The sequence below is a fragment of the Homo sapiens genome, chromosome 11, assembly GCF_000001405.40.
Source record: "Homo sapiens chromosome 11, GRCh38.p14 Primary Assembly".
Taxonomy (NCBI): Eukaryota; Metazoa; Chordata; class Mammalia; order Primates; family Hominidae; genus Homo; species Homo sapiens.
Window position 1 is genome coordinate 91,847,083 of NC_000011.10, and position 16,247 is coordinate 91,863,329.

A 16,247-nucleotide genomic window follows, 5' to 3' on the forward strand; every position below is an offset into this window, starting at 1 on the left:
AGTGAGCCTGAGATCTAGCCTTAGCTCTGCTGTGTGACTTTAAGCAAATCATTGACTTCTCCTGTCTTTGTTTTCTCTTCTACAGATTGAACTAATTGGGCTAGTTTCCAAAGTTACTTCTAGTTTCATGCTATTTAGAAAAACCAGTATGCTCACATTTAATATTTTAATAACAGGGTACTCATTCAGTCAGTTTGTCATGCATTCATTCAATAAACATTTATTGCACACATACCCCTGCTGGGCACTCTGCCAGGGATACTACTGAAAACAAAACTACTTCATGATCTTTTCACTCTTATGGTCTTTGCCCCTCTTGCTGTCTTGCCAAAGATTCAGACACTAACACAATCACATAATTGCAAATTTTAGGAGTCTTGATAAATGGCAAGGGAGAAGTAGTGGATAACTCCTTTCTGTCCTTCTCAGAGCAGATCAGTCTTGGAGACCTGTATACAATGTTGAGCATTCCATTTAAAGACTCGTGAAGATGAAGTTGAGTATGTCTAGATATGAACAACCTGAGGACACCTCATTGAGATGCTGAGACTGGGCCACATAAAGTACTAAGAATAAATACACAAGAAAGAGAAGATTTGGGAGAGGGGGGTAGATATTTACCAAAAAAATGTACTTCAAATAATGAAAGTCATGTGGAAGAAGGATGAAACTTGTCCGAGATGGTCTCATGAGCTAAAATTATGACCAGTGACTGCAAGTTGGAGGAAAATAGATTTTTGCACAACATAACATATATCACAACCTAAATATACAACAGAACAGGCTGCTTCAGGAAGTAGTGAATTCTCTATCACTAAAACTATTGAAACTGAGACTAGAAGGATGACAATACAGGCAGAGCATATTTAACTATGGTGAGCGAATAAAGGAATGGCTAAATGTATCAATGCATCCTAGGCCCAGAACATATATTTCAGCTTTGCCCATGTAGATGAAAAAAATTACCTATAAAATTCCTTTCATTCTGAAAATCTAGAATTGTTGTATCTACGATTCTAAGAGACATGTATTGCCCCAATAGAGTGCTTTGAGGAGCATAGAAAAGGTGCCCAGCCTAACAGATCTTTCTCACCTAATTGGAATTGCAAAGGACTTCATTTTCTGAATCTATAAAATGGCAACAATAACACTTATTATAGGCTGTGTTCTTCTTATTATTATTATACTTTAAGTTCTAGGGTACATGTGCACAACATGCAGGTTTGTTACGTATGTATACATGTGCCATGTTGGTTTGCTGCACCCATTAACTCGTCATTTACATTAGGTATTTCTCTTAATGCTATCCCTCCCCCATCCCTCCACCCCATGACAGGCCCCCCTGTGTGATGCTCCCTGCCCTGTGTCCAAGTGTTCTCATTGTTCAATTCCCACCTATGAGTGAGAGCATGCTCATAGGTGTTTGGTTTTCTGTCCTTGTGATAGTTTGCTCAGAATAATGGTTTCCAGCTCAGAATAATGGTTTCCAGCTTCATCCATGTCCCTGCAAAGGACATGAACTCATCCTTTTTTATGGCTGCATTGTATTCCATGGTATACATATGCCACGTTTTCTTAATCCAGTCTATCACTGTTTTATAAAAATTAAAAGAGATAACATATGAGAAGTATCCATACTATGGGATTAAATAAATTAATCCATGCAACATATTTGGAATAGTACCTAAGCAGGTATTCATTGTAGCTTTGAGCAATAGTATTTGTTCCTTTTATACTTTAAAGACCACTTTAGATGAAGGGCACATTAACGTGATCATTACACGAACCCTAAGGGAGAAAGCTGGCTGGATAAGGAATGAAAACTTGTATTGTTGAATCAATTGGACTGGAGCTAGCTATCTGAACACTCCCAGATGAGAGAAGTGTCCATAACATCAGACCCAAATGAAAATTCCAGGAGCTTGGGTTTGGATGAGAAGAAATTTTTAAAAATAAAGACAGGTTACCAAAATATCTTCAAATGTTGGTCAGTGTGTGGGCTGAGTGGATCAAGCTAATAAATACATTTGTTGGCTGTTTTAAAAATGGCTTTCAAATCTTTCTTTCCTATTTGTGGTGCTAGTGCCCTTAGGACAGAGAGAAACAACACAGGTAAAAGCAATGAAGCAGGAGCCAGAGACAGCAGGCAGGATCAAAGCAGAAAGCAGAAACCTGACATGATTCCCTAAGGGGTTAGAGTGTAGCTGCAGACCTTGTGGACTCATCCCTTGAGGAAGGAAAGGGAAATGGTGTTAAGCTGGTTGAAACTAATTGTAAAATCTTCCTTTCAGTACCCCGCGTCTGCCTCAGTCCATCCTCCACACCAGAATAATCTTCCAGGGAAACAATGCTTATTATGTCTACTAAAACCTTCAGTGAGCTCCCCATGGCTATAGGATGTAGCACAAGTGCCTTGGCATCAACCAGCCCAGTTCCCCTCTTGGGCTTCATGTCCCACTTTCAGTGTATGTTATCTGTGCTCTGTCATCTGGGCTTTTACACCATCCCAAGACTTTTTGTGGTCTCCCTGCCATTACATGTGCCATTCTGGCCTCCTGATACCATTTTTCTGCCCCACAGATCCACCTCCCCACCCTGTCCTACATAAATCCATCCTTTTTTAAACCCTTCTTTCCTTAAAATCTTGCCATACCACTAGAGAAGCCTTTCTCCAATATTTCCACCACCTGAATGCAATCCCCAAGCTCAACGGGGTTCATTTTTTCCCAGAGAACTTTTCTTCACATCTCTACAGAGTTTTGAGAAAAAGTCAAGTCAAAGTCTCACTTCCCAGATCGACAGTGAAATCTTCAGAGACTATATTATTATATCCTGAGTGCAGGGCAATTAGTAGGTGCAGCTAATTTGTTAAATAAATAACTGATCAAACATTCAGCTTGAACTCCATGGAAGCAAAGATCTTGATAAAACATGAATGCCAACATATCTGCCATAATTCAGAATCTGTCTTATTTGCCCCTTCCCTGTTCTTTCTCTACCTTTTTATGTTCTTTTTACATTTGTGCATTTATTTCAGCCACACCAGACACTTATTTATCGCTTTTGATTTAATTTCTCCCTCCATAGATCTGCTGTGCATGGGCATCTCAGCTGCGAGCCTTATGTTCATAAATATCTGCCGGATGGCTTTCTTGTTCAGATGCCTTCAGCGTGTGAATGGAAACTGTCGACAAAGTCTGCTCAATAAGCTGCATTGTTTGCTCACACTCAAACAGGACTGAGATGTGTCCATCAATAACAATTCACATTGCATTAAAATATAGATGAAAACACATACAAGGAAAATAAACTTCATTTAGACTTAATGAAATTTAACGCATTTTACAAGAGTGTAAAATATTTTAAAAGGTGGACACTTTCAGAAAGAGCTTCTCTGACAGGAATACGTCCCTCTGGTGGTTTGCTATTGGGATACAGGAACAGTTAGTGTCTATGTTCTCATCATTTTATGATTTCGTGTGCTTAAATGGACAGCTCTATTTCTGTATTTTTCAAATGGGCAGCAGCATTCCACAAAGGAAGGAAAAGCCACAGGCACATCTCAGGCCTGAAGGATCACTTGGGTCTTCGGTGCGCCAAGTCTTAATTGCAAGCTCATGTTAATGAGAGAAGCAGGGCAGGCAGGCAGGGGTCGAATTAGAAGAAAGGAGTGCTTATATGCCATTCAGACCAACCTCACTCTCACCTAATTTAGAAGTGGAGCTGTTTCTGGCTTCCCCTAGTCCGGATGAGCTGACATGTGGATTCCCTATTAACTGTTGCTGCCTGTGATTTTTGTGATTTAAGAGAGGAGCTGACTATGTTTTTCACCACATTAATAGCAATGAAACATATGATGAAGTGCCATGCTCTTTTCTGGGTCCAGCTGCACTTCCAGCCAGACTCTGTGGATTGAGAGCCCCGCTTGACTTAGTGTTCAATTTCTCTCCCTATAGATAGTATTGCATGGCCAGCAGCTCTCTGCCAGTCTGGAGCACAGAGACCCAGTCATGACCACACTGGTGACTGGAAGAGAGATAAATGCAGGCTTTGCAAGCCACTAGGTGGATTTTCCAGGAAGACAGAAGCACTATTGTAATTCCTAGCCTCACTAACTTATTTTTTTCTTAATGTTAGGATTTAAGAAAGTCTTTGTGGCTGTGGTGGCTTCAAATCACTCCCGAGGCTTTAGAAGAATATAATTGCCGTTCTAAGAAGAATCTGAGGCCTCTAGGAGATCTGCCAGTAGTGGCCCCAATGTATAACAGCACTAGCTCAGTGAAGAGAGAGAGAAAAGATCTGAAGAGAGTGGTTGCAGGTATTCGTAGGGGTTTTCTCATACTTCCTCTTGTTTCTGGTGCATAACAATTCTTTATGATTTCTGGATGTTGCAGTAAATGAGGCCTGTGTAAGGGTTTTTATTTTTTGGTTTTGGTTTTGTTTTAAGGATCTACATATAATCATCTATGCATGTGAATGTATACACACTTATACATACATACACTTGTGTGTACGTGTATTTCTTCATGGGTGACAGGAAAACCAATGATCTTTCCAAACAAGCTTATCATTTTCCTTCAGCATACTTCTAAGGGTTGAAATTACATTGTGGCCTCATCCATTTCAGTGACTACAGCCTGAGTCTAGCCATGAGAACCACTCAAACACTTAACATGTCCCAGCCATGGACAACACAATTGCTTTGTCATGCTTGTTACTGTAAAGCCTGAATAAAGAGAAACAGAGTCTGAATCCCTCTCTTCATATTTCTTGAACTTTTTGTTGCACAGAAAGCAAAAGATCAGGCTGACGTTTCTAGAGAAAAGTGGGTAGGTTAGTTTGATGGGGCTTCCATGGGAAAACAACACAGACTGGGTGGCTTAAACAACAGAAAATTATTTTCTTACAACTCTGGAGACTAGAAGTCCAAGATCAAGGTGTCAGTGGCTTTGTTTTCTCCCGAGGCCTCTCTCCTTGCAGGGGGCCACCATCTCCCTATGTCCTCGCATGGTCTCTCTGTGTGTGCCTGGGCTATCTCTTTCTCCTTTTGGAAGGACTCCAGGCCCCATGTTATTAGCCTTATTTTAGCCTCACTACCTCTTTACAGATCTTATCTCCAAATATATTCTGCAGTAGCAGGAATTTGGACCCCACATAGGAATTTTGGGGGACATAATTCAGGCTATAACAGTAGGCCTCCTCAGTGAATATCTCTACAAACATTATTATCAAGATTTTATTCAACTTGGGGCCCTCAGCTTCCAGAGGCTCTGCTTTTTGACAATGATATGCTTATTTAAGTCATTCTGTGGATGCCCTGTTTAGAATAATAGTCACTGTCTGTTGTTCATGGACAAAACAAAACAAAAGACCAGATCTGAGGCTTAACTCGGGTTACATTTGGTAAGGGGAATATGCCAAGTAGCATCATTTTTAATGAGACCTTCAGAAAACATTGCACGTGACTAAAATAAGGTAAGAAATGCCAGCCTTCCCTAGTATAAAATTGGAAGAGCTCTCAGGGCTGCATTGCTCTGACTCATTGAAATTTCTTCATCTGTCATCATATCTGCTTCTTTACTCCCAATTCACCTGTGCTACTATAGAAAATAACATATTTAAAAACCCTTCTGCCACTTGCCCAAGTCTCCCTCAGACATTCAAGGTTAGATATATGCACGATTGTTAAATAAGTTACAAAAGACTTCTTGGGATATTTCATCACTTTAAGATGTTTTCCTCCTCTGCAATTCCTTAATCATAATAATAATTATCATTACTAATGTCATAATGATAAAAACAAAAGCAGAGCTGCTATTATCAAGTTACAAGAACTTTGCTAAAAGCTTTGTATTTATTATCCCAATTAATTTTCACAACAGCCCTGTGAAATATGGACTATCAGTATTTCCATTAAGAGGATGAGAGAACTCAAACTCTATTCATCATCAAGTTCTTAACTACTTATTTTCTTCTTAGTCCTGAATCTCTCCAACTCCTGATGTCCAGCCAATCAGTCCTCCACTGTATTTGGTTTGGCAACTCTGGTGCTGATTTTAAGCATGTTCTAGGTCATAATTGCTCAAAATCTCTGACTCCCCTAACACGATCCAGCCCAAAGTCTAGGCTGGTCCTCTGGGTTGGTATTTTGCTAACCTGCCCCATCTCCACACCTGGGAATGTCTGAAAGCTCAAGTCTTATTAGGGTCATTTTTAAAAAGCCCTGCAGTAGCTGAGTTCAAAAATAATTCTGATAAATGAAGATGCTTTTCACCATTTAGGTTTGAAAAGCGTTGCTATAAAAATGTGTAAGATAATCAGCTGATTAAATTTTGTGTATTTCACCTTTCTACCACAAGTGTCTAAATTTAAAAAAAAAAGAGCAGAATCTTTTACAAGGGCCAAGATATCATCAATAAAATAAAGACATTATTTATAATCTTAAGGCGCCATGAGGGCCCTTTTTTTCTCTGAATTCTTTCCAAAAGGAATTATACACCTTGTGTCCACACCCTCAACAACTCTGATACCGCCTTTTTGTGAAGACAGCACTGTGCTGCTGTCTAATAATTTCAAGAGATATCATACTGAGCATTTTCTCACCAAGAGACTTAAGATCATCTTCTTTCAGGACAACCTGATTGACATTGTGACCTCCTGTTTGTTTGCTTGCTTTTTGGCTTATGACTTTTTTTCCTTTGTAACAGAAGTGATGCCATCATTCATTCTGAATCCAGCATCCCCTTGAATTAAGATAAAGTCTGAGGCCACCTTTGTGACATGGAGTTATGCAGAGGGGCCTATATGTCAACTAAAAATCCCTACTTCCTTTCTCAGTCTAAAAGAACTAGCTAAAAACTGTATAAGAATTCCATCCATTTACTCCATTCCAGTCACAGAGCAAATTCCAAACCTGGGCAACTTTGTGCTTGCTAATTGACTTTATTCAGTATCTTGATCTAAAGGTTGACTGAAGGTGGAGAAGAAAAAAATACGAATTTATACAAATGACTTAACTGCATGTAATACAACACGAGGCACAAGCAAGCTCAGCATACACCAGGTGCATCGCAGATGGGGGAGTATTCCTTATTGCTAATAAATTCAAGTGCATGTCTTCAGTGGAAAAAGTAAAAATGCAGGCCCCATTAGTATTAATGTAGTTACTTACCTCACATCTATACAGACTTTTTTTTTGCATTATCCCAAAGCTGGTAGTCATAGCATGCACATTTTGCATCATTTTCATAGACCCTCTTGTCTTCCCACACACATCTATGAAATGTCCACTCACTCAGAATTTAATTATTATAATGCATTTGTCTCTTAACAAGTAATCCAGTACCTATAAATCAATGCTGGGCACCCCAAACTGATACAGGATGTGCTGTTGGAGTCTTGCTCTGCACATATGGCTGGGATAATTCAAGAACAGAAAGAAGCAGGCTGTGATTCTGGCTGATTAGAAATATCCCCACCCTACAAAACCAACATATATACTATGTTCCAGATACTTTTCTAGGTGCTTATGTTATTTCATTTAGTCCTTGCAATGACCGAATGGGAAAGGGATTATTATTATATCATATTACAGATGAAGAAATCAAGGCACAGAGAGGAACAGTAACTTACCCAGGGTTGCCACTGTGACTGGTGGACCTGTGACCGAGCTAGGGCCACCTAACTGTGGAGTTTGTGTGTTGACCACTCCAGCCTATAGAAATGGGCCAGGACAGAGTCACTACTCATCTGCTTGGAGAGCCTCATGCTCAACAAGACATGAGAGAACCATTCTCCCAACAGAACATCTGAGCTATGTTCCTAAATCTGTCACCGACTTGATCCAAGACCCTGGGAAATGCCTCTTAAACTCCCTGGTAATTAGTATTGTTATGTGATTGCATGGTGGGAGTGAAACTATTTGGACAGCAGTAAACACTAGAGCAGTAAAAAGGGTCATGTGTGTTACTGTTGTTTATAAAAACATAAAAGTTATGGAGAACATTTTCCTTTCCATTTTCTCAAACTTCATGTATTGTCCAGCATTGTCTTACCCTTATTAATATGTCACTAATATTTTCCTGGAAATTAATCTTTCTTTTAAGAAATAGGGTCTCATTCTGTCACCCAGGCTGGAGTGCAGTGTGCGGTCATGGATTGCTACAGTCTTGAATACCAGGGCTCAAGCCATCCTCCTGCCTCAGTCTCTTGAGTAGCTATTACTAAAAGTGTGCACCACCACATTCAGCTACTTTTTTTTTTTTTTCTTTTTTTTGGTAGAGAGGTGGTCTCACTTTGCTGCCCAGGCTGCTCTCCAACTCTTGGCCTCAAGCAATCCTCCTGCCTTGGCCTCCCAAAGTGCTAGGATTACAGGTGTGAGCCACCATACCCAGCTGAATTTTTATATTAAATAATTAATCAAGTTCCATTGTAAGAATGTCACCTAATCACCATTAAAATACATACAAAATAAGTAAATAAAATGAAGTTACCCAGATATCACTTAAAATCATCTCACATACCACAGAGGAAAATATAGCTCTTCCTGATAGTCTACATATATAAAATTTTCATATTTTCTTCCTGCCTTGCCTTGTCTTTTTTTTCTTCCTTCTTCCCTTCTCTTCACTAATACTTAATGAGTATATTCTATGTGCCAAGTAGCTTTCTATAACTAGAGAGAATCCAAAGTAAGTCTCTGTTTTCATAAACCTTTCTTCCCGCCATGAAAATAATCAACAAATAAACAAAATTTAGCACTGAATAATGTCAGAGTTTCTAAGGAAAATAAAACATGGTAAAGAGGCAGAGAGCAGAGCAGGTATGAAGAGATCTTCTCTGTCCCATCCAGATCACTCTCAATTATTTTCCACACCCTTTTTCCAGTTTGAGCTCTGTCAATGGGACAGTCCTGGGCAGGAGACTGGGGAGAAGAGGCGGCTTGCTGGTTTTCCTGAACCACTTCCACCCTGAAAGGTCAGTGGATGGGGGACTGGGTCTCAGCACTTTCAATTCTCTTTCTGAATTTTGGGGCTTAGGACCCTGACTGCACGGGGAATGGAATTCTATTCGAGATGGGGTGATCAGGGAAGTCTTCCCTGAGGCCCTTTTACTTTTTCTTTAAATCAGAGAACATTACAAGACACCAAATAAGATAAACACAGGCTTTTGGTAACCTACAGCTCCCTTAGGGCCATCTGACATAAGAAGATTTTGGAAATTCAAATCAGATCTTTTTTCTTTTTCCTTCTAGACTCCTTGCATACAATCATCAGAGAAGAACCGTGGGAACCAAGAACCATGAGCAGGAGAACCATGAGCAGTAAGCACCTACAGGGACTGTGGAAATGGGAGAGACACTTGGACAGAAAAGCAGCTGAAGATGGGATGAGAAAGCAGACAAAGGAGGGAAGTGCTTCTGAACAGAGTGCCAGTCTATGGTGCCCAGAGCTAAATCCTCAACTTTCAAATCTGTGAAGACTGGAGATTCTTAATATTTGATGATCTGGTTTATCTGCACATATAACTAGCATTATGTTACCCTCACATTAAGTTATATTCTTAGTTTCAGTTTTCCAAGAAATGCTGCTTGAAACTACAAACATCGTTTAAGTATTTTTGAGCTAAATGTATTCTCTTTTTAATACTCTTGCTTTAGTTTCTCTTTTTGTTTAATTTTTTATGGCTGGAAGAGTATAATTAATTCAACATGGTTGCTTAGAGAGACATTTTCCAGGCCCCACTAGGCATACTGTAGTCATTTATTCAAAATTAGGCCTAGGGAATAAGAATCTCAAGTAAATAATTTATTATATTTGATGTAAATTCATCTAGATTTTCTGACTTTTCTGAAAAATATATGCTAATGCCCTTAAACTGTATGAAATATTTGTAGTATACTTCTGGAATATCTTTATCACCCCACAACTTTGTTTAGACAAATACCAATTGGAACTCAGAAATTCAGTGTATTACTCTGAAAGTGTGCTCATTGGGCAAGATTTTTTAAGCCTTTTGGACTTTAACTGGAGCATAGTGAACTGCACTTTCTAAGATGTGAGAAAAATATATTTTTCATATTATTGGTATCAGAAACTTGTCTTCTGGGAAGCCCTTCACCCCCAAATGGGCCCTAACTCACTTCAACCACTTATGGTTTATCTGAAATTCTAAAATGTATGTTTTGCTGAATTCTGATATAGCAAGAGCTCTTTATTTTTCTTAAATAACTACTTTGAAAGAATGATTTTGCAATCCTATAACTAGTACTTATTACTTCAGATCATTCTAACATGACTCATAGATTAAGTCCTTGCCACTCACTCAACTTTTGGCAAGCATGAACATCACCTCCCCAAAATCTACAGAAATGTTTATACATGCTATGTTAACTGTGGGCTCTTCTGAGGATTGACTGGAAATTCAATAATATATGCGTTTTTTTTTAGCTTGGATTCCTATAAATTAAAGCAAAAATAGAAATTGTATTTATAGAATAAATGAGAGTTTACTGTAAGAAATATGACAACAAAAAAATATTTTTGTCATGTTTCTCAGTTTAACAAAATACTGTTAACAAATGTGCCAATGTTTCTCTGGGCAGCTTATATTTTATCTGAAAGTTGTCATGTAACTAAGTAATCAAAGAAAATGTGTCTTTGCTTAGCTCAGACTTTAGAGTTGGAAGGGGCCTTAAAAATTAATTGCATAAACTTTTTTATTGACAAGAATGCCCAGAGCTTGAACAGAGAAGTAAGTTAGCTAAGAATGGTTTAATCTTTTCTGAATTCATACAGAGGCCCCCAGGAGCTTCTTTCTCTCTGCCCTCCTTGCTATGCTCCTCTGAAACTTCAAGGAGGCTAACTGAGATTGGCCAGGCCAGGAAAAGTTACTGCCAGGAACGTTGGAGATCTTCAGCGACCAGAAGAAAGAAAGAAATTATTGAGGTTGATATTCTAAGGAATTAGGGCCCAGTAATTACTGCTGGTCATTGTCCCATCAAACCTTAACAGGGTTCCACAGTTGCAGTCACTTCCTGCATGAATCTGATTCGCTGCCTGGAATTTAGATACATAAACCAGTGTCTTGTTTGGCCTCCAGTGCTTCTACATGTCTCTGTGCTGAATGGTCACTGTACCAAAGTACCCACCCACAGGGACAGATGGGGCTGAATTTTACTTAGCCCAACCCTGCCACTCATCGAGCCTTGCTCTGTGGCATACCAACATGTCATACCACCCAGTGAAACAGATACCACTTTCTGGCCTTACAGGAGAATTACCCACTCATTGAATTATCCATCTCCCCAAAGGGGGTGCCCTAATGCACCTCTGTAAGTCATGTGGACTGGTGGCATTCTGGATACTTTACCATTTGAATGTCTTTTGGAAATCTGCTTTTCAAATGGGTAGCTTAGCTAGATGACCTTCATTAACAATAACTCTGACTTTTTAGTTCTAAGAGCAACAGAGAGGGCACCTATTCCTCCTTTATGCTAATTCTTCATAAAATTTCTACAGAAAGATTTAGCCAATTGGCAGCACATACAGGGTCCTCTGTGGTTATTATGAGCAGTCACCCTTGAATTTATAACTGGGAGCCATTTTTCATATTCTAATAATGATCAGTTCTATGCAATACATATACTATGGCATTTTCTTGAAGAAGGTGCTTTTCCAAATCTGTGCCCTTGGATATGTTTTAAGGCTTCGATTGAGTTTTGACATTTTCATGTCTTCATTAGTGAATTCCAGCAAATCTCTTCTCCTTGAAACCACTGCCTGCTCCCACCACCTCTCTCAGAGAGCCATTTGCTTACTGAAGGTTTAGGGCAAATTTTATTACTCTGGACAATAAAATAACATCCATTATTCTTACATATCCTCCCATCATATTGAGAATTCAAGTTTTAAAAAATTTTACTTAATCTATTGACTCATAGAATGTTAAGCCTGGAGTAATGAATATTAATAAGGTACCACACCAATAGGCAGGACATTGTGTCCTCCATGTTGGCCACCAAGAAGCTGCACTTTCCATTTTCCCTTCCTCTCCCCTTAGCTGAGGACTATGTCTGACACCCAGCAGGCCCTCAATGGACAGACAATGGATAACACAGTGAGTGTAGAAAGTAACTTCTTTTTTATCAATGGCACCTTCAATAGTCCCAGTGTAAAACTGGAAGCATGTGGCACAATAAAACACATGGGAACAACAGAAAAGATCAGGAAGAATTCTCAGAGCCACATTCTGGGTGATACCAAGCTCTTAACTCTAACACTTAACTGTATCCCTCTGTTTCTCCAACTGGACCACAAAGCCTGTAAAGTGATTCCTGTCACTAATCTTGGGGATCCAAAACTTTTCCCTTTACATCTACCATTCTCCCCTTTCCCACAACCTAATAAGCCTCATGAGTGATGACCACAGCCTTGCTTTCTTCTGTTTTCACCTCTACTTAGGTCTCCAAAATCTTTATAGTCCAGGATCTACTTACTACAATCTGTTGGAAGGAAATACATTATTGAGTTAAAGCAGAGATCTCAACTAGTTGAGTAAGGGTGTTGAGAAATGAGGTGGAGGAGAAGAAAATGAAATAAAATTAGTAACAGATTATTGTCTAAGATCCTTTTAACATCTTATTTGGAATCAATGTGAGGGTCTGTAACACTAGGCTTCTGAGTCCCTTCTTTACCAGAACTACTAATGTAGTCTGCAAAGTAATAAGTGCTCCATTGGCCTGAGGGGATTTGTCCTGCTGCCAGACCTATCACCAAGAAGGCATACAGGCTTTCTGAGTGACTAAGCACACTCAGCAGATTTTATTAATGGTTGTGATGACTATCTACATAATTCCCCCCACATATAAGATTTTTAAGGGCACCTGTGTGGAGACAATTCTACCAATTTCTTTGGTAATCTCTTTTTCTGGTCGTGTAACCAATGTAAGCAGGGGCTTTCCCACATGTCTGAGATAAACTGGCCTGCTGAAGCTCAGCCCCTTTCCAGAGAGTCTATTCTGGCCCCTCCACTTTCCTCTTCCACATGGACTTAATAATCTGATTTACTGCACTTTACTTTCATGGGGGTGTAGGGGTCTCTGAACCAGCCAGAATAATTGATGACCCTCTTTCTCACCTGAGTTCTGAATAAATTGAGAAAAGAATAAAAGATGGCGATCAAAATATCCTTTTATGACCACTAACAGCTAAGGCAGAGGATGCAGCCTCATATGACAACTAAACAGGCTTCTTAACAATAAACCTTTGAATAGATAAGACTTATTCCTCTGCCTGCCAAGTCCCAGGCCCATGCAGCTAAGATTTGCAGAATGAGTGAACAAAGAAGAGACCCTGCTCCCTGTGGGCACCTGTTCCCAACAGAAGTTGCTGAGCTGAGCTTTATTCTTCACAAATTTATTAATCATCTGAGGCACTGCCCCCTCCCCTCTCCTCAGGTTGCTGTGTGCATAGGGTGGAGAAGAGCCAGAAGTATTCAGGGAAAATCCCTTCTAATGTAAAGCAGAGGTTGGGAAGAGTCAACGTTTACTTAAAAATTAACCAGTGGGGCCAACTCTACTGAAATAAATTGAAGCTTTAAAACAATTTTTTTTTTTTTGGTCTACTTAGTCATTCCAGGAGCAGTCTCTGCCATTTTGAGGATAGGTGCAGCCATGGGTAACAGTTTTATGTCTCCTTCAGTAATGTTTATTTCTGAACATTCCTGGCTAATTATACTGCTTGGTCAACCAAACCAGGCAGGCCAAGCCTCCAATAAGAGGCTCTGTGAGAATTGCCTGGAGACTTGATTATTCATTTCAGTAGCCAGAAAGTTGATCCTGAGTCGCGGCTGAGTGCAGCCGTCTGGCTCAGTGTGCAGAACCCTGCCCTGGCTGAGTAGTTAACTTGTTCAGAGCCATGTCCTTAGCCTGATTCCAACAGTGCCACTAATTCTCACTAATCCTCCTCAGCTGAGACAGCCTGTACATGACACTTCATTTGGCACACTCATACCTCCATGGTTTTCCAAAGAGCCTGCGGGGAATGATGGCAGGGCCATGGTGATCAGTACCTGGGAATAAGGTGGGGTGAGAAAATGTTATACTGGCATCCTCATCAACATGGTCAGTCTATGTCAGGTGAACATGGAGTGGCAGCTAGAGACTTGTTAGTCATCATTGCTATATGTGCTTTAAACCATATTACACATTTTTTGAGGGCAGAAAGGGACATTATTTCTCCAGTGTTTTCTTTCTGTGACTTGAATGTTTTTTCCATGGAAAAGATCACCATGTGTCCTGGAGGAAACATGGGCCTTAGAGCTTGATGACCTTAAAGGTGGGGTTCAGCCCTCTTGGTGCTCTGGGGGGACATGTACCTTTATCTCATTGAACCTCAGCTTTCTCATCTGCAAAATAAATGCATAATAATTACCCCATGTATGTATGGTGAGTATTGACTGGGATTACACATGAGAAGTGCTCAGCACACCTAGTACTAACACATAGTTGCATAAAAGTTGATCCAACTAAAATTATCTTATGATGACCTACCACATAGCAGAAAAAATAATCTTCAGATACAGGCTTTTGGTATTTTATGAGGCAAGAATTTTGACTAATGAGATTACCCTTCAAATAATACATATTACTCTAAGTTTCTAGGATATAATTCATTCTTTCCCCTTCTCTGTTTTCTAATTTTGACTCCCTTTTGATAGCATTAACCTAAAATGGTGTCATTTTACAACAAAGACAGAAATGGAAGTCATGTAAAGGTCAGGTTTCTACAAGGGAAATAAGGGAATAGAATTGCCTGCTTAAGAACCTGCATGAAATGAGATGCCATCTCACCCCAGTTGAAACGGCTTTTACTCAAAAGACAGGCAATAACAAATGCTGGAGAGAATGAGGAGAAAAGAGAATCCTGGTACACTGTTGGTAGGAATGTAAATTAGTACAACCACTACGGAGAACAGGTTGGAGGTTCCCCAAAAAACAAAAATAGAATCACCATATAATCCAGCAACCCCACTGCTAGGTATATGACGAAAAGAAAGAAAATAAGGATATTGACGAGATATCTGCACTCTCATGTTTATTTCAGCACTGTTCGCAATGGCCAAGATTTGGAGGCAACCTAAGTGTCCATCGACAGACAAATGGTTAAAGAAAATGAGGTACATATACACAATGGAGTACTATTTGGCCATAAAAAAGAATGAGAGCTTGTCATTTGCAACAACATAGATAGAACTGGAGGTTATTATGTTAACTGAAATAAGCCAGGCACAGAAAAAGAAACTGCATATTCGGAGTAATTTGTGAGGACTAAAAATTAAAACAATTGAGCTCATGGAGACAAAGAGTAGAAGGATGGTTACCAGAGGCTGGGAGGGGTAGTGCAGGGCTGGGGAGAAGTTGGGAGGGTTAATTGGTATGAAAATATAGTTAGATAGAATGAATAAGATCTAGTATTTGATAGTATAATAGGGTGGCTACAGTCAACAGTAATTTATTATATATTTTAAAATAACTAAAAGAGTATAATGGAATGTTTGTAACACAAAGAAATGATAAATGCTTGAGGTGATGGATACCCCATTTACTCTGATGTTATTATTATGCATTGTATTCTTGTATCAAAATATCTAATATACTCCATAAATATATACCTACTAGGTATGTATAAACATATAAAAAAAAAGAGCCTACATGAGACAGATGCTCACATCCACTCAGTTAAAAAGTAGCAGAGCTATAATTTGAACTCAAAACTGTTTCCTTCCAAAGCATTTACCCTTTCCACTGAACCATTTTCCAGTCTAGTTAGTAGAGGTCTGTCAGATAAGGACATGGTGAAGTACTTATAAGCTAAGTAGTAAGTCTAAGTAACTGTACTGAACAATAAACTCTTGCTTCATGATTGTCCTCATTAGGAAGGAATATCAAGAAAATAGACTACAAATAAATGTCTTTTATTTCTACTTCTTCAATATATATTATAACATTCTTCTTGCCAACTGATCTTCTTGCCTCCAATTTGACCCCTCTGATCCACCAAGTATTGCATACTACCGTGTTTTGAGACATAGTAAGTACTTGTAGGATGAAAATTCTATCTATTGCTTATAGGAGCATATTCAAAATTAAAATGTTACATTTACTCTCATCCTTATACCTCGTTGATAACTTTCCCTTGCCTTTCCTTGGTTGAAATGGACAGGTGTGACATACAAGAGCCTTCATG

The 16,247-nt window shown here is 39.3% G+C and overlaps 1 long non-coding RNA gene across 5 annotated transcripts in view; it reads left to right on the top strand.

Moving 5' to 3' along the window:
- Positions 1-16,247, top strand: part of LINC02756 (long intergenic non-protein coding RNA 2756) — a 78,165-nt gene that overhangs the window by 52,761 nt on the left and 9,157 nt on the right. For 3 of the 5 annotated variants that reach the window (NR_187311.1, NR_187312.1, NR_187310.1), the window contains 4 exons: positions 4,138-4,318; positions 8,887-8,976; positions 9,254-9,322; positions 15,105-15,177. This is a non-coding gene — a long non-coding RNA (long intergenic non-protein coding RNA 2756). Of the gene's footprint in view, positions 1-4,137; positions 4,319-8,886; positions 8,977-9,253; positions 9,323-15,104; positions 15,178-15,936; positions 16,092-16,247 lie in introns of all 5 variants that reach the window. The other 2 variants (NR_187309.1, NR_187308.1) reach the window with 2 other exon arrangements.